Source organism: Homo sapiens, chromosome 5 (assembly GCF_000001405.40).
Source record: "Homo sapiens chromosome 5, GRCh38.p14 Primary Assembly".
NCBI lineage: Eukaryota > Metazoa > Chordata > Mammalia > Primates > Hominidae > Homo > Homo sapiens.
In genome coordinates this window covers 76,293,227-76,311,974 of record NC_000005.10, presented here as the reverse complement: position 1 = coordinate 76,311,974, position 18,748 = coordinate 76,293,227, and the positions used below count along the sequence as shown (strand labels likewise).

Sequence of the window (18,748 nt, the reverse complement as noted above, 5' to 3'; positions counted from 1 at the left end):
AAGAGATGAGGGAAAATTGACTTATTTTTCCCAGTTAGGGTATTGAGGGAAGCTGACCAGCACAGACTAAACCCAAAAAATGAAATGCATCTTCTGTTGGTGTTCTCAGTTCTACCGCAAAGAGGGTTGAAAGTAATTTTGCTGGTGGCAGGGACTGGGGACGGAGAAATGAGGGAAAAGGAAGCTCCCCCACACCAGTATGTTAGATGGTTGGGGCTCCTTTCAGATTTACGGCAAGCTGGAAAATCCATTCTATGTCTGGCTCATGTCACATTCATATTTCATGTCTATTAGAAGAATCTCATGCCACATCAATTGTTTGTGATCTACATTACATATAATAGGCTCTCTGCTTATCTTTGACACAGGTGAGGGGCTGATGTAGAAACTGTTAAAAGACTATACAATGACTTGTATATTCAATAATGGCTCAAACTTCAAAGGTCTATCATTTTGCCCTGCTCTTCATTTCTTTCCTCATAATGCTTCTCAAAGCAATCTTGTCTTTCCAGCCTCACAATCAAGGACAAATTCCTGAATGCAACATTTGCTTTTCCGTCTTCCCGCTTCACCTCACTCATCCCTGCAGAAGTACAAGTATTCCTGGCTTCTTCAAGTCTACGCCTAAGAATTAAGAGCCTTGGGGAGAAGGGCACTGCATCGACCACTGCATCTCAATCATTGTGGCAGACGTACCACAGCACTGGGAAGCTGGCCTTGGCAAGAATCTCAGGCTATTACTACAGAGTTGGGAAGAAGGTTTAGGATCAAGATAGAGGTGACTGACCAAGGTGAGTGCATGAGCAGAGAGGTGCCTTCAACTTCCACTGCAGACAGTTCTGATATCTTGCCTCTACCTGAGGTGAGTTCTAGCCCTGGGCAAGTCAGTCCAATGAATGTCATTGAGAACCAGCTGCAAACTACTACTGCCCTACTGACCTAAGCACAGAGGTTATAGGGAAGTCTAACTTGCAAAGCCTTCTCTCAATGTCATACACCATTTTTGAAGATCAAGACATCTTAATACTTTGACCACTTGCTTCCAGGCTAGTTTTTTTGTATTCCACTCTGCCAGCCTGAGTTTCTAGCTCACTGAACTCTTGTCTCCTGGCCTGGTATCCTAACTCTGGTGTCTGTTATTTCTTAGTCCAGATCTGTGTTACCTCTGGATTTTCTTACGTTGATGGATTTACCCCCAGACTCCAACTCTTGCCTCTCAGACATGTTATTTCTATGGAGGCCTTTGTTTTCTGTTTCCTTTGACTTGAACTATTCCAGGTCTCTCTCTTAGACATATTTTCAGAATCTAACCACTTTCTCACCACCTCCATTGGCACCATTACCTCTTGCCACATTTCTTGCTGTGGACTTCATAAGTCAGTTCATGTCACTCATCTGCCCCCAAACCCCACATTGGATTTCATTTTACTCAGCAAGAAGACCAAAGCCCTTTTATTGTCCACTCTGACCCCATGGCTTCTTACCCTCTACCTTGGTCATTCTGCTCCAGCCAGACAAGCTTTGCCTCTCTTCCAACTGGTCTCTCACACTCCCACCTCAGGACCTTTGCACCTGCTGTTGCCTCTGCTGTGAATACACTCTCTCCAGATGTCTGCCTGGGTCTTTGCTCAAATGTCAGCTTTACAGTCACATCCCCCTAGACCATTCTATTTACAGTTGTAACTCTCCTTACCCCAGCATTCTCTATGCTCCACGTAGCTTTATTTTTCTCTACAGCACTTAGCACCATCCAATATACTACATCTACTTTACTTATCTGTTTGTTGGACTGTCTTCCTCAAACTATTATAGAATATAAGCTCTATCAAGGCAAAGCTTTCTGTCTGTTTTGTTCACTGCTGTCTCCCAATGACTAAAATAGTTCCTGGCACAGGATATGCATTCCATAATCATTTTTTTTTTTTGAATGAAATAGTGAATGACCTCTCTATCCCCAGCTCAGGTATCTTTCTGGCATCCAAACAAAAATATTCAAATGCCAATCGGACAGCCCCAGGTTGATGTAAAAACTCAACATGTCCAAAATGGAACTTATTACCTTCTTGACCACAGCCCAGACCCACTGTCCCTCCTGTGTCCCAGCCTCAAAATGCCATTGTGCTCCTGCAGGTGGTTTTTAAAATTAAAAAACATAAACAAAACCTGCCATCTCCATTCACTCAACTGTACACGCAGAAACTGGAATCATCTTTCTTTGACAACCTCTTTTCTTCCCCCTAACATCTAATCAAGCACCAAGCTTTGTTGAATGTATCCCTAAATATCTGTGAACATGTTGAGTGTTGACTTTTCCCCTTTCCAACCTACATTTTTCTTTCTTTCTTTCTGTTTTTTTTTTTTTTTTTTTTTTTTTTGAGATGGAGTTTCGCTCTGTCGCCCAGGCTGGAGCACAGTGGTGCGATCTCGGCTCACTGCAAGCTCCGCCTCCCGGGTTCACGCCATTCTCCTGCCTCAGCCTCCCGAGTGGCTGGGACTACAGGCGCCAGCCACGATGCCTGGCTAATTTTTTGTATTTTTAGTAGAGACGGGGTTTCACCTTGTTAGCCAGGATGGTCTCGATCTCCTGACCTCGTAATCCGCCTGCCTTGGCCTCCCAAAGTGCTGGGATTACAGACGTGAGCCACCGTGCCCGGCCTCCAACCTACAACTTAAGTGTCTTAACCAGCCTCCCTGCCTTCTTTCTGGCCATTAGAGGGAGCTCTCTAAAGGCCAAGAATGATCTTGTCATTCTCTGTAAGACAGCTCAAAGTCTCCCCGTCCCCACACAATAAGGCAATGTGAAAGAGTCTTCATGACTTGTTCTTTGAGTAACTCTTTTACTTCCAGAGCTTGTTAGCTGGTATTTGCTCTAACTGAAATGTTCTTTCCATCTTTTTGACTGGTTATCACCTACTAGATCTCAATTAAATGGAACTTCTTTCAAGAAAACCTCTCTGATGCTCTGAGCATCATGCACTTCCCATGTAATAACCCTGACCACTATATTACAACTGAAGTTTGCTTGTGCTTATGAGAATAAAGACCACAACTGATTTACTCACGGTTGTATCATAGGTGCTCAAAAAAATAGTTGTTGAGTAAATAAACAAACAGTATTAAAATTCACACCGAGATGGAATAGATATACTTTTCTTATTCTTCTTGATAAGTACAACAAAATATCCTGCACATTATATATAAAACAAACAGAACAAGACTGAAAGAGGAAAAAGGCAGAACTGCTAGGGAGCTTGGGGATGGGGAGTTCCCTGCGTTTGCCTTCTGCTCCATAGATCTCAGACTTGGAATCGAACAAGTTGCCAACCCAGAAATGCCAATAGGCACAGAAAAAGAAAAGCCACAACCAAAGCCTGCTCTCTCTAGCCCAAGGACCAGGAAAACGGCAGTCTAGCAAGATAGAAAACTTTTAGATAATAACCTCTCTCCTCAGACCAAACACCAGGAAAAAATTGTAGCTCAACTGCCAGCTACATCAGCAAAGGTCTGGTGGTAGCCTAGACTTCCACCCTTGTGAAACTAAGAAGACCTGTCAACACTACCATTGGGATGCCATCAGAGAAGGGTAAGTAAGGAGCTGGGACTTTCATCCCTGCTGGGTGGTAATGAGCTCCTCCTTCCCTCCCTCCCATGGTATCCATGATCAGGAAGGGAGTGTGGACTCCCAGCAGTAATGAGAATGCCCACTCTTGGGTGTCACTGGAGCTTAAGTGGAGTACCTGGACTTCTACGTCCACCTGGTAATAATAAGGCAATGCCTCCCTTTCGCTTGCCAGAGAGGAGTCACAGAAAGCCAATTCAAGCAAAAGGCTTAAATAAGATCCAAATTCTCATAACATAATATGTAAATGACTGCTTCCAATCAGAAACTGTTTGTCATACAAATAAACAGGAAGATTTCAAACAGAATGAAAAAAGACAATCAATAGATGGCAACACTGATATGACAGAGATGTTAGAATTATCTGATGAATATTTTAAAGCAGCCATAATAAGGCTTCAATGAGCAACTATGAACACACTTGAAACACATGAAATTTAGAAAGCATCACGGCAAAAATGGAAAAAATAGAAAGCCCTAGCAAAGAAGTAGAAGAAATAAAGAAGAACTAAATGAAAATTTTAGAACTGAAAAATATGATAACCAAAATAAAAAGCTTAGTGGTTGGGCTCAACAGCAGAATGGAGGAGACAGAGGAAAGAACCAGTGAACTGGAAGACAGAACAATGGAAACTATCTAAAGTGAAGAACAGAGAAAACAAACTAAATCAGGGACCTGCGGAACTATAACAAAAGATCTAATATTTATGTTGCTGGAGTTCAGGCAGAAGAGAAAAAGGGCAGCACTGAAAAAGTATTCAAATAGTTAAATTTTACGGGAGGCCATTGTTTTGGGCTAGTCTCCTGCACCTAGGCCACAGCAGACCAGTCCTAAGCAGAATGGAGTCACTCAGGCTAAGTGCCACCTAATCAAATTGAACTTTGAAAAGAGCCAGTTTTCCAAAAAACAGGTGATTCCGGCCAACCCAAATGAGCATAATAAGGAAGTCCCCTCTGTTTTAGCCCTTTACAGAAAGGGACTTTGAAAGGGCTATCTGCTTTTTGTTCTCTGTATCTGCTCTCTTTAGAGCTTTTCTGCCTATGAAGCCAACTTTCTCTGCTCAGCTCATTAGAGCACTCACCCCATTTTATAGAGTGAGGTGTTGCCTGCTTCTAGAATAGCAGATAAAAGTCAACTAGCTCTTTACACTAAATTTGTTGTAATTTTGTTTTTTGACAAAATAAATAATGGCTGAAAACCTCATAAATTTGGCAAAAGCTGTAAACCTACAGATTCAAGAAGCTGAGCAAACCCCAAACATAGTAAACCCAAAGAAATCCATGGCAGGCAAAGAAAAAACCTGAAAAGCAACCAGAGGAATCAATAGTTTATTCCTATTGGGAAAAAATACTTAAGACTGTAGATCATCCCCCTCTACAAATGTGGTATCTGTTTTCAGAATTCCCACAACAGACTCAGCAGTAACCCCTCACTTGCCCCAGAGAACACTGGATCTTATCTATCTTTTAAATATTGTCTTCTCTGAATAATAGGAGAAAGCTAAATGTCATAATTGCTTTAATTTGTAATTAATTTTTACTATTAGTGAAGCTGAGCATTTTTATATGCTAAGTGTTTGTTGACATTTCTTTATGAATTTCCAATTTATATATTCAGGTTATTAATTCATTTCTGTTTCAACCCCCTCCTGCCCTCAATTTATCATTTATATGTGCCTATGGTATTTTTTGCTGTGTGGAATTCACATTTTGTTTTACCCAGAGAATTCTTTTAACCTTCTCCCTGATGGTTTCTGGTTTTGAGGTCATGCTTATAACTAGCAGCTAAGGTTTTAGGGAATGTAGATTTGTTTTTGATTTGCTGTCCAGGGGTACAGTTTCCCACCTTTTGCATAGCTAAATCCTCTGGATAATAAATTGCACTTTAGTAATAATCTCCAGCCTTAAATATAAGGTATAAGTAAAGAATAAGTATTTGGTCTTCATCCCCAGTTCCCGGCATTGAGCTCCTAAAACCCTTGGATAAGAGTATCTTTTGGAGCCTGGCACAATGGGTCATACCTATAATACCAGCTACTTCAGAGGCTGGGGCAGAAGAATTGCTTGAGGCCAGGAGTTTGAGACCAGCCTGGGCAACACAGTGAGACCCCATCTCTTAAAATAAAAAAAAATAAAATAAATTAGCCTGGCATGGTGATACACATCTGTAGTTCCAGCTACTTTGTAAGCTGATGGGGGAGGATCACTTGAGCGCAGGAGTTTGAGGCTGTAGTGAGCTATGATTGAATCACTGCATTCCAGCTCTGGTTACAGATTGTAGCTCTGGGCAACAGAGGGAGACCCCATCCTTCCCCCTGCTCCACCAAAAGAGTGTCTTTTGTAGGCTAATGAGATGACTCTTGGCTGAGGGGATCCTAGATAGCTTCTGGATTGGGCTGGTCTCCAGAAAAACCAACCATATGTCCAGAGGGTTGGAATGTTCAGTCCCCTCCCACCTCTTTTTGTGTCCCTTAAATCATCATGTCCCAGTCAGTGTGTAAGTGCTCTCTAATCTGGGGAAAAAGCTAGAATGTCACCATGCATCTGTTTAAGACTGCAATTGTTATGCTCATTTTTGATACTGAGGTTTTGAAGAAAGGAGGATGTTGATGGCATTTACAGAATGGAAAAATGGTTGTTTCATTTTTTTTGGCACAGAAAAGTGCTATTCAGTAAGTACATCTAGATTTAATTCCAAAATTTCCTGCCTCTTTATCAAACGATCTAGGTAGGATAACTTATAAAAGACACAAAATTAATAAAATGGGCATAAGAGGGGGCAAATCAAGATAAGGAAGAGTGAAACAAGTATCTGGACTATGCAGATTTAGCAGAGACACAGGCTCTCTGCTTCCTGATTGCACAACAGAGAAGGAAATGTGAAGAATTACACAATTTTTATCATATGAAGTGAGGACACATAACAGCTTCTCAAAGCATGGGTGGAGGAATACAAAATGATTCCTAGAACCCACCCCTGAGATGTTCAGTCTTCATGGTAGACTCTGAGTAGAAGAAGATGTGTCCTATAATGAACAACGTCCTCATTAGTGTTTTCACAGTAAATGCAAATGTAATCCTAATAGAGATTGGATGTGTGCCCCACCCAAATCTCATGTTAGAATGTAATCCCCAGTGTCAGAGATGGGGCCTGGTGGGAGATGATTGAATTATGGGGGCAGATTTCTCATGAATGGTTTAGCACTGTGCCCTTGGTACTGTCCTCGCAATGGTGAGTGAGTTCCTGTGAGCTATGGTTGTTTGAAAGTGTGTGGCACCTCCCCTTGAGCTCTCTTGCTCCTGCTCTTTACATGTGATGTGCCTGCTCCCCCTTTACCTTCTGCCATGATTGGAAGCTTCCTGAGGCCTCCCCAGAAGCAGATGCCACTATGCTTCCTATGCTTCCTGTATAGTCTGCAGAACCATGAGCCAATTAAACCTCTTTTCTTATAAATTACCCAGTCTCAGGTATTTCTTTATAGGAATGCAAGAACAAACCAATACAAATCCCAGTATTAAGAGAGGGGGGCCTTTAGGAGATGATTAGGTCATGAGGGCTTCTCCCTGGTGAATGGGATTAAGGCCCTCATAAAAGAGGCTTCACACAGTGTTTGGCCCTTCCTGCCCTTCTGCCTTCCACCATGTGAGGACACAGTGTTCGTCTCCTCTGAAGGACTCAGCAACATCTGGAAGCAGACAGTAGCTCTCACCCAAGACACCAAACCTGCCTTGATCTTGAACTTGCCAGCCTCCAGAACTGTGAGAAAATGAATTTCTCTTCTTTATAAATTACTTAGTCTCAGGTACTTTGTTAGAGCAACACAAGAGAATGAAGTAAAGCCTCTAGCCAGAATTTTTGTGTTCTATTCCTGTATTCTTGTATTCTATCCTGCCTCCATGGGGAGATGAAGCTATAGAGTGTCTCAACTGGTTGGGATTTTCCTCTAATAGCTGAGTTAGAGATCAGTGGAGACCTCCTAATGCAACCCAGAGAAACATGGAAATGGTGGAAGAGGTTTTAGCCTGAAATATTTTCAGATACTCACTAATTAGCTCATACTAGCGAATTTACCATGGCCATGGTCACGCTGCTCTGGAGCACAAGTCATCTTCTAGATCACCAAAGGAAATGACTTCCTGTGATTATCTGATGACATCTACTTAAGTGCTGGAGAGCGTCTGCCAGCAACAGCGTGACCGCGGTGAGAATGCACCTGGCAGACCTTTGTGTTATCGTGCTGGTGTGCACAGAGGTGTTTTCCCACATGCTGCTCCCAGACAATGACTGGACCTGACAGGACTATTACTGCAGGCTGCTTCCTGAGTCACACAGGACTCCTCTGAGGCTGATGTTGTCATGATCCCTGGGTCTCCAACAGCCTTGCCAAACCTTCCTTAGATTACTGGATAGTCTGGGAGATTCCACCCAAATACTCCTTCCTCCCTCCTTCGCTCAGGCTTAGAGTTGCATTGCAGCTCTCCCATACTTCACTCCCTCTCCATCTTCTCTCACAGTCATTTCCTCTAATAACATTTTTGCATGTTTAATCCCATCCTGACATCTGCTTCATGGAGGACCTGAATTAATACAAATAAGCAACATTTGTTTTTATTTCAATTGATATTTAACCTTTCTGACAACAGAAACACCGTAGGTCTGTACTTCTCACAGGAAGGACCTGACCAATTTCAATTTATGAGGGTCTTTTTTTTTTAAGCCAGATTTTTGTCCTAGGTGAATACTCATCCTTCTATTCCTTATGGCAGAGGGATAAGCAGCTGATTCTCCTAAAACAGTATCACACTCTTATAGTATACAAGAAAAAGGAAGGAGGCTATGACCTAGCCTTGCTTTAACATTGAGGAGGTTATTTTATTTTATTATTTATTTTTTGAGACAGGTTCTCTCTGCTGCTCAGGCTGGAGTGCAGTGGCACAATGGGCTCAAGCAATTGAGGGGTTCATTTTAAACGTATAGTGTAATCCACATCTAAGCTCTGTTTGCAGAATGAGAGGTTGATGAAAGAAAGCTCAATGAAGCTGCAGAGTCTTAATCTTGCTTTTGGCCGCACCAACTCTGGCAGGACCTCGTTCACAAAGACAGAGAATTAACATTTGTTGAATGAATGAAGGAGATGCCGTACAAAGATTGTATGGTTCCTTTCAGAGCCTAAATATTTAATAGGTGGGTCACTGAGGGTCTGAACTAGAATATTTGATAAGCAGACATCCAGGGTTGAGTGTTAGATGTTCTGCAGGGAGATGGATGGAGGGGTACCTACAGGGTTCTGCAAGCTCAGTAATAGATGTTGTTGAAGAAGAAATATAAGTTAGAGACAGGACAGGACACACACAGAATACACCTCTTTGGGGTCAATAAAAAAAGGGAATGAGCCCAGAGGAAGCACTCAAGATCAGTTGCAAATTGATATCCCAAATGTTTTGGCATAGTTCTAGGAAAAAACTCTCCTACATTTCAAAGTCCAGATAATACTGACTCCACCCTCTGGCACAGAGGACTTCTATGGCAACATAGCACAGGAGTGGTACATGAAGGCAAAGTCCATTTGTCTTAGCTCATATCAAATGGTAAAGCAGAGCTTCTTTTATTTTAATTTAGCTATTCAAGCTGCTGAAGCTATACCCAAAAGCCCTAGCCCTTTCTCTGATATGAGTCTCTGTGTTTCCATATTGGGAGCAATTTTTTTTTTTTTTTTTTTTTTTTGAGATGGAGTCTCACTCTTGTTGTCCAGACTGGAGTGCAGTGGCATGATCTTGGCTAACTGCAACCTCCGCCTCCCAGGTTCAAGCCATTCTCGTGCCTTAGCCTCCTGAGTAGCTGGGATTACAGGCACCCGCCGCCATGCCTGGCTAGGTTTTTTTTTGTATTTTTAGTAGAGACGGGGTTTCACCATGTTGGCCAGGCTGGTCTCAAACTCCTGACCTCAGGTGATCTGCCCGCCTCGGCCTCCCAAATTGCTGGGATTACAGGCATGTCCCACTAGGCCCAGCACAATTGTTTTTTATAACTAGAAATGTGTTTGGCTTTCCTCCAACAAACCAGGAAGGTCAAGAGATATGTTCTAGATACCTCTTTGTGGTTGCTTAATGCAGAGCTCATGCAGACACATCTGCAAACCTAAGGAAACGACCCTCTAAGGACTGGTTAGCCACTTAAAATGTGGGCTAAGATAGGCTATTAAACTCTAATCCTCACTGCTTCATTACAGCTTCCTCATATTGTTAGCCTACAAACTAAGTTAAGGACACACTTAAATTCCTTCACTGGCTTCATTGCCCTATTAATTCCTTCTAGCACATATGTTCCCCTATATTTTCTTTTTAAAAGATATGAGTGGAACCTACAACTTTGTGAAGCCAGATATTTTTGGATTTTTACTTTCCTGGGGAAGTGACAGTTTGGCTTTTTTTTTTTTTTTTTTTTTTGAGATGGTGTCTCACTCTGTTGCCCAGGCTGGAGTGCAGTGGTGTGATCTTGGCTCACCACAACCTCTGCCTCCTGGGTTCAAGTGATTCTCCTGCCTCAGCCTCCTGAGTAACTGGGATTACAGGCACCTGGCACCACACCCGGCTAATTTTTGTATTTTAAGTAGAGACGAGGTTTCACCATATTGGCCAGGCTGGTCTCGAACTCCTGACCACAGGTGATCCACCCACCTTGGCCTTCCAAAGTACTGGGATTACAGGCATAAGCTACCGTGCCCAGCCAGTTTGGGTTGTTTTAAAATAATTTTTCAGTGGTCTCACAGGGCTTAGAGTGCCTCTTACTAGAGGCCCATTTCAACATACCTCCGGTCTGTGGGGTACAGTTCCACAGTGACCACGTCAAGAGAGTTCCAGGCTGAGATGGTCAATCCATTGTACAGACACAGCATGCCTATCATCATGGATTCACTGGTGCCGAACCAAAGGAAGAAACAGCTGATCCCCGAAAGCACCATAGAGCCACCTGCCAACAATGCAGACAAAAGGCTGGAATGTTTCCTGTCATCTTAGTAAAGCAAGAACCCTTGGGTCCTTGGGATTGCTCAAGAAAACTGAATTCTAAGTGGAAGCTGCAGGATGGGCTCCATAAAGCTCAAGAACTGGTGCATTCACCTGAATGAAAGGCTCTAACTGCCTCTGAACACAGAAAGTATGAAATGCATATCATCTTTTACTCAGCTACTTGAGTGGGAAAATATACATTTTACACATAGTTTTTCAGTCTGTTAACTCATGGAAACCACTCAAATGAAATGTAATTAGACATAATTTTCACTATAATTTAGTCCCAACGTAAGGTCTAAAGGATTTCTCCTTATTGGATGCAAATCCCTAATAGATGGGAGTACAGGGGGAAACAGGGTCCCTCTGGATTGCAGGGGCAGCTCTTTTATTTGACATGAAACTGAGTACATACCTAGCATTGTTAAGCGCCCAATTCTGTCCATCAGCAGAGCAGACACAATGTTCCCTGGCAATACTGCCAATGTCCCCAGAAAGTTGACAAAATAAATCCAGTAGGCACTATAGTCATCATCAAAGGTAATCTGACATCCCGTCTTGTTGTGAAAAAACGAGCAGTTTTTAAATTCACTGTCAATGAATTTATATGGCTCAAAATCTGTAGAAACAACAACAAAGACAATTCATCAAGCTCTTACCAGGCATGCACCAGTATAAGAAAGCCTATGGAGGATTCGGAGAGGAAACCAGTATTGTAAATTCCTTGAGGGCTTTCAGGCCTATGCTAGCTTGACTTTTTGGGTCTTCTGGCCAAAGCATAGGATCTAGTCTGGGTCTTCACATCATAAAGTAGGTGAATGATGAGATACCTTTGCTGAATAAAGGAATACATTAAATTAAGGGGTCCAGTTATCTTCTGATTTCCTATGGTCGGCCATTGCTAATTATATTACTTGCTTACTCCTTTACAATATTACTATGTCCTAATTATCATGTTACATAAAGACTATCATTATAGTACTAATAGTGTCCATACTACAATTATAAAAACAATTTGTTTCAAAATGTGCATGGGCTGGGTGTGGTGCCTCATGCCTGTAATCCCAGTGCTTTGGGAGGATGAGGCAGGAGGATTGCTTGAGCCAGGAGTTCAAGACTAGCTTGGACAACATAGTGAGACACCATCTCTACAAAAATAATAATAATAATAATAATAATAATAATAATAATTTTTTATTTGAGGCCGCAGTGAGCTGTGATTGCGCCACTGTACTCCAGCCTGGATGACAGAGCAAGACCCTGTCTCTAAGGAAAAAAAAGTGCAAGAGTCAGCCTTATCATTGCCATTTTATGAGACTAGAGGGCACAGAGAAGGAACAAGTCTTTCCTGAGGCTGAATTTATAATTTAAAGTCTATGTGCATGAATCTACTGAGGAACAAGAGTCAGCCTCATCTGAAGGTCACCAGCATTCATTGCTAATCTTTTCTTGAATTTGAAACCATCCAAGAAGAGTTGCAGATGGTGGTGGTTTCTGCTAAAAGGCTGTGAGAATTGAAACTATCTTCCTTGCTGATCAAGATCTGACAAAATGTTCGTCTTCTGAGGTTTAATGGGTTAGAAGACAGGTAGATAGCATTGCTCAAAAAACAAAAAACAGAAAGACACCTGACCTCATTCTTCTTTGGAGCTAGGCAGAGCCCTTGTCTGAGCACTAAGAAGGCAGGTCTGGCAACAGGGCAAATGCTGATGCTCCTGCCAATGCCACGCTGTTATGCTGGATTCATTTTATAGGACACACAGACCAATGTTTGGGAGTGGGAAAGTGGAAGGCACAGGCTTTGAAATCAAATAAATCTGGGTTCAAACATCTGTTATTACTAGTTCTATAATTGTGGACAAATTACTTAACTTTCCTAAGCCTCAGCTACTGTGAAAACTAAATGAGATAATGAATGTCTAATGACCTAGAGTAGAAAACAGTATATAGGTGTTCAATCAATGCTTGTTTGCCTTCCTTTTTTTTCCCCCTGGGGAGTTTAAAATACCCCATTATATGGATTTGGCCAAAATATATATGTATCTGAGCATAGCCACATGTTGTCTATCTCTGTTGGCTATAGAGTTGAGGCATTTAAACAAACACCAGATTTTGAACCCAGGATTATCAAAACAAATAAACTACAGGTTAGGTCTTTGCTTTAAAAATTTATTCATCAAAGGATTTTTTTGTTGTTGTTGTTGCCAACTTTTGAACTTTGGCAAGCTCCATTTGCACTAAATCTGACAAAGACAAACAATACAAGCCAACCTTTGATCCAACCTGATTTAGAGAACTTGTTCCATTTATTCTTTAATATCCACTTCCCGCATAAGCCTCTGCCCACATTATCACATGGTTATCACAGTGGGCCCTTTGGAGAGGCCTCAGGTAGAGGCAGTACTAAGTAGCACACCTACCTGTGTTGTCAAAAACAGTGTCAATAAATGTGCAGTTCTTGAAGTAGGTGTTCACTGAAGTTACATCCTCAAAGGTGCAGGACTTAAAAACAGAGTCTTTGAAAGTTACAGATTTGAACTTGACCCCTATGAATCTGCCCAACACACAGAAAAATTCATATCAATCAATGACTGTGTCCATCAAAGTTCAAAGCTAAGTCAAATAGTTTTAGAGATGGAATGCCCCACTATGGACTGTCTTAATTATAAAGAACACAGAGTTCTTGATTTTCTTAGCTCTCTGCTTTTTCCCCTTTTTCTCATCCAGGCTGACCTTTGGCTATCTTATTGCTTACCAATATTATTTTTCACCAGGAAAAGAGATGACACTCCTAACTTCCCTTAGCTTTTTGTAATGTTGGTAAAAAGTTTTGTGGGGTATGCAACTGAAGATAGTTTGGGGATTACCTGGGGCTATTCTTTAGGTTTTAATCCTATCGTCTCTTCATGTATATCTTTATTTGAATATTCTCTATTTGGGGTTAATGGCTCTAACTTAAGGATGTCCTCCTACCCGATCTTTTAATAACTTTATTTTTCCCTAGCTGAAAATCCAAGTCTTCTTCATTCTAGTGTAGGGACCTGTAATTATCCTGAAGAGAGAGCATGAGAATTCTGTTTCATTTATGTGAGGAATAACTGACTTGGGGTTGAAGAAACTCATAGGTGACGCTCATTTCCAGGATAATTTTTCTTCTCACAGCCAACAGATAGTCCTTGAACCAAAAGGAATTATGAGAACTCTGCTTATTTTTGGAAACATGAAGAATGATGAAACCTGTTCAGGTATATTTTTGGGTATTATAAGGGGGAATTCTACGTGGTAAAAATGGTAACAGTCATAATGATAATAACATCTTAGAAGAGTCCATGATCCAGGCCTTATCAGCATTGATAAGGACTCCCAGCAGACACAGATAAATATTCATTAACGTGTCCTGGTACTTTATTAAGAGACTATGAATGTACACTTAGCCAGTCACTGAGAGGAAAATGCTTGTTCTCCTCGGGAAGGAGTTGTTATGTCAATACCACTCTTATTAGGGGCAGAAAGGGACTGATCCTTCTAGGTAAGTAGGTTGATTTAAAAGCAGTTTACTAACTATTGAGTACTTTCAAATTTATTCTCTCCCTAATACCCAATTACGTGTGTTGGTTCAAAATGCACATGGCCTCACAGACCAATCAGCTTAAAAAAGAAATCATTCCCATGGTACATTACCTGGAAATAATAATAATGATCTCGTTTCAATCCCCACTCCAGGGACCCAGAGTAAAAACATCTAAATGCACCAAAAGAGACTAAATAATGGCACATCTTTAAAAAGTTATCAATTTTTTCTGTCATGGAACTGAATTTGGAAAAGGGAATGAATCAGTTTTATTTTTTGAATGGATAATTCAGAGAGTACACATGGTGCACAATTCGAAAGGTTGAAAATGGAAAAAGTCAGTCTTTTCCCATCCATCCCCAGGCCACAAGTTCCTCTGCCCAGAATAACCATTGTTGTCAGTTTCTTGTGTGCTCCTCCAGGAGCATTCTGTGTCTAAAGTACACCTGCTTTATCTCCTTCTAGTCTACCTTGGAGGTTATTCCGTATCAGTATATAAAGAGTTGCCATTTTATGATGCTGAATAAAAAAGCTATTTTTTAAAAAATTTCGTTAATGGTATTTCAAATTTTCCTGAAGGACAAAAAAATTGTTTCTATCATCTTTTAAAATAAATGTGTAACATATGTTTTACAAAAACTGTAATACTATTAAAATTAGTAATCATTATATTGCTAATGTAAAAAAGTTCTAAGCAGTGACTGAGTATCCAGTTTAGAACTTTAACATATATTACTAAAAATATGACTGTCAGAGACACAAACATATATTAGAAATTTCTAATGGAGTAACAATACTTTTGAAAGTCAGTTTTCACCCTGGCATCACAGAGGACTTGACACTAAGCTTTCTGTGAAATGCTAAGTGCAGATTCAAGTCAGTATTTTATGTGGGAGAGTGAAGGTGATCCCACTTGGCTTGGATGATGATTAGTTCCTTCATTGAATTGCTAATTTGAACAATTACCTCCTAGTTAGTAACCCTCTTTTCCATTACATAGATCATAAGCATCCCACTGAATTCTTTTTCATCTTTCTGAACTGGTTTTTGCCCTGGGGAACTTTGATTATTTTAGAGTTTTATTTTATCACTTTTGAAATTGGGACAACTTCCTAAGAATGATGTAAACTATCATGAACTTACACTGGCAATTATTTGTTCAGGCAACAAAAATACTTGGATATAAACAAGTACTTGGTCTACTCTTTTCCATCTCTAAAAGAATGACCCAGGACCACCTCCCTGAGTCAGTTCTCTCTTGTCATCAAGAAGTATTTCAGATCCCATAAAGGAGACCCTTCCGTCTTTCAAAGCCCTTTACTTTGGGGAATGATTCCTGTTCTCTAATTGAAACTCTTCCTGATGCAATTTAACCTCAATTCTGGATTCAGCGTATTGGGAAGGATGAATTCTGAAAAGTGGCTCTGTTTCTCAGGAATAGAAGACTCATATAATCACATTTCAGATTTCTTCTGTGAATTAAATAATCCTATAGCCTGTCTTATTTTCCCATACTCTTCACTCTTCTCTTCCTTCCATTATTTTTGTTGCTCTCCAACATTGCTCTAAATTTTCCTTCCACACCAGTCAAGTCCACTACCTAATAAATATGAAGCAACTTAGCTGCAAAAATAGTTTTAAGTGAAGTAATGGATACATTTGTACCTTTTATTTAAAGCCTATTAAGAAGTATTGAAATTCATCATGAAAATGACTAAATGTACAAACTAAAACAAACAAACAAAAAACTATGCCTGTTTCAGTGCAGGGAAAGCTAAGAAGAAATAAGTTTTTGTGAATAGGTAGCAAATTAAATTATTTCAAGTTTCTAGACCTGCCATTGTCGTATTCCATTCCAGTATGAATCTGATTTTCCATTGTAAAGTTAATAGTGAAATTTGCATATTTATCTCTCTCCACATTTCTGGTTAGCAATGCATATTCATCGGACTGCAGAGGTTTAATGACATCAGGGAACCAAACGGATAATCCATAGTACCTGCAAAGACAAAGAAATGTGAGTTTGTAAAGGCACTAGCATGCCAGAGGCAATGAGCAACTCCCTGATGTTTTCAGACTGGTAATAGTTCCCGGAGAATGGCTGGCTCCCTATAACATTATGAGTAATTCATCATACAGCAATCCATGTGTCCCTCTCCCCCAGCATTAATCTGCAAAAATCAAGCTTGAGAGATGGCCTATGGTTAGCTGGAGAACCCCAGGTATGTAATTCCTAAACCCTTCCTTTGGGAAGAGACATGCAGAAAGCATCCGATCCTATGCCCATACATGGTGCCTGGTCTGAATGTGTCCTTCCAAAACTTATGTGTTGGAACTTAAACCCCAGTATAATAATATTAGAGGTGGGGGCTTTAGGAGGTGATTAAGTTATGAGGGCAGAGACCTCATGAATGAGATTAATGTCCTTATAAAAAGAGGTGCGAGGGTGCTGCCTCTCTCACTTTTTCCCTTCCATCCCTTCTACCACTGAGGACACAGTATTTGTCCCCTCTGGAGGACTCAGCGACAAGCTGCCATCTTGGAAGCAGAGACTGTGCCATTACTGCACACTGAATCTGCCAGCAGCTTGAGCTTGGACTTCCAGTCTTCAGGACTGTGAAAAATAAAATTCCTATTATTTACAAATTACCTGTTGTGGTATTTTGTTATAGCAGCAGAAATGGAGTAAGACATCTGACATCCTGGCCCCAATATCTTTCTCATCATTCCAGTCTGCTCTGAGAAACTCTCTCTCCTAGTCTGGTGGTACAAACTCCTGGGATCCAAGCACGGTGAGAGCCCCTAAAGAATGACCTCTTTTGCTAATGGGGAATCTTTCTTGGTTCCTACACTGCTGTGATACTGCTATCCTGGGGGTAGAATGCCAGTTCCCAAGGTAGTTAGAGGCTGGGAAGAGGACATTCGTGTTATTCTCAGAGATTCCAAGTTATTTCCCCTTTCTGCCTCTTGACCTCTAATGTGTTATTCTAACAGCTGTGTCATGCTGCTGTACTGTTCAGTACAGAAGCCACTAACCACGTGTGCCTACCAGGCAGTTGAGATGTGGCTGGTTCAAACTGAGATATACTATAAATATAAAATACCACAGGATTTTGAAGACTTACGGAAAAAAAGAAGGTAAAAATTGTTGCTAATAATTTTTATACTGATCATATGTTGAAATGACAGTGGCTCACGCCTATAATCCCAACACTTTGGGAGGCCGAGGCAGGCAGATCACAAGGTCAGGAGATCGAGACCAGCCTGGTCAACATGGTGAAACCCTACCTCTACTAAAAATACAAAAATTAGCCGGGCATGGTGGTGCACGCCTGTAGTCCCAGCTACTCAGGAAACTGAGGCAGAAGAATAGCTTGAACCAGGGAGTCGGAGGTTGCAGCGAGCCGATATCGTGCCAATGCACTCCAGCCTGGCAAAAGAGCGAGACTCCATCAAAAAAAAAAAAAAAAAAGAGAGAGAGAATGAATGAAACAAAATGTAGTATTAAAATTAATTTTATCTATTTCCTTTTACTTTGTGTGTGTGTGTATGGCTACCAGAAAATCTGAAATGACATCTGTGGTTCACACGATACCTCTATTAGACTGTGCTGCTCTAAAGTAGTACCTCCTAAGATAAGATAAGGTCCCCGGACCAGCAGGATCATCATCCCCCACAAACCCAGGTTCCAGTGAGACCTGATGAATTAAAAACTTTGGCAGGGGAGTCCTCCAGGGATTCTTCTGATGCACGTTCAAGTTTGAGAACCACTGCTCTAGTTTATTCCCAGTGACACTTAGCTACACAGGGAAAGAAGAGAGTATGGGCATAGCCTTTGCAGGAGGACAGGCTGGGTTTGAATCCTGGTCTTGTCGCTTACTAGCTGCCTAAACTTGGGCCAGTTATCTAAGCCTCAGTTGCCCATCTCTACTATTGGAATGATGGGAATATCCACCTTCCTGGGTGGTTGCTCAGTTTAAATGGGATGTCAAGTACCTAGCACATAGAAAGTGCTCAGAAGACAGTATGAGTCGTTTTTATCATCATTGTCATTAGGATTCCAAAAACATCTGTGCCTCAGGATTCCCACCCCTTTTCTTCATAGTAATGTCTGTGGGGGTGTGAGGGTAGTTATTGAGGAAGAAATGACTTAGGGGTACAACATTTATGGCATTGTTCTCTAGTCACATACATGGGGCACAAACCTTGAAATGGCAACAATGAGGAGGGCACATTACCTTGGAATGTCCATCCATCATCAATGATGTGGAGGGCTTTTGGCTAATTTGTCATTTATTTAGCAAACATTTACCGAACACGCACTAAATACTAGGCACTATTGAGGTTCCAGGGATATAGCAGTAAAACAAATCATAAAGCTTAAAATATGATCAATAATGAATTAGTAAACAAAATAAACAAGCCAGATAATGATGATTACTCTTTACACCTTGACAGCAGGACTTCCTTCTTGCTTATCTTTGTCTTCTTTGTCTTTAACCCCTTGCTTAGGTACAGAGTAAGCACTTAATATAGGTTAATATTTAGCC

General features: G+C 41.0%; 1 protein-coding gene and 1 long non-coding RNA gene across 6 annotated transcripts in view, besides 2 other annotated features; one reads left to right on the top strand and one right to left on the bottom strand.

Annotated features, from left to right (window-relative positions):
- SV2C (synaptic vesicle glycoprotein 2C) overlaps window positions 1–18,748 on the bottom strand; it is a 506,476-nt gene that overhangs the window by 41,965 nt on the left and 445,763 nt on the right. For all 5 annotated transcript variants that reach the window (XM_011543282.4, NM_001297716.2, NM_014979.4 and 2 more), the window contains 4 exons: window positions 16,033–16,197; window positions 13,048–13,181; window positions 11,043–11,246; window positions 10,430–10,589 (listed from right to left, as the gene is read on the bottom strand). In XM_011543282.4, the coding sequence (XP_011541584.2) occupies window positions 10,430–10,589; window positions 11,043–11,246; window positions 13,048–13,181; window positions 16,033–16,197 (663 nt within the window). The remainder of the gene's footprint in view (window positions 1–10,429; window positions 10,590–11,042; window positions 11,247–13,047; window positions 13,182–16,032; window positions 16,198–18,748) is intronic.
- On the top strand, window positions 346–16,995 carry SV2C-AS2 (SV2C antisense RNA 2). Its single transcript, XR_001742750.2, has 4 exons — window positions 346–791; window positions 13,790–13,872; window positions 16,131–16,215; window positions 16,871–16,995. It is a non-coding gene; the product is annotated as an SV2C antisense RNA 2 (long non-coding RNA).
- Window positions 14,899–15,781: an enhancer, noted in NCBI's record as "NANOG hESC enhancer chr5:75592019-75592901 (GRCh37/hg19 assembly coordinates)". NCBI's record gives its function as "activates a minimal SCP1, AML or CMV promoter by ChIP-STARR-seq in primed H9 embryonic stem cells {active_cell/tissue: H9 hESC(primed)}" and the evidence as "EXISTENCE:reporter gene assay evidence [ECO:0000049][PMID:30033119]".
- Window positions 15,761–16,960: an enhancer, noted in NCBI's record as "BRD4-independent group 4 enhancer chr5:75590840-75592039 (GRCh37/hg19 assembly coordinates)". NCBI's record gives its function as "activates an origin of replication core promoter dependent on BRD2, P300/CBP, MED14 and CDK7 cofactors, and independent of BRD4, by STARR-seq in HCT116 cells {active_cell/tissue: HCT116}" and the evidence as "EXISTENCE:reporter gene assay evidence [ECO:0000049][PMID:35650434]".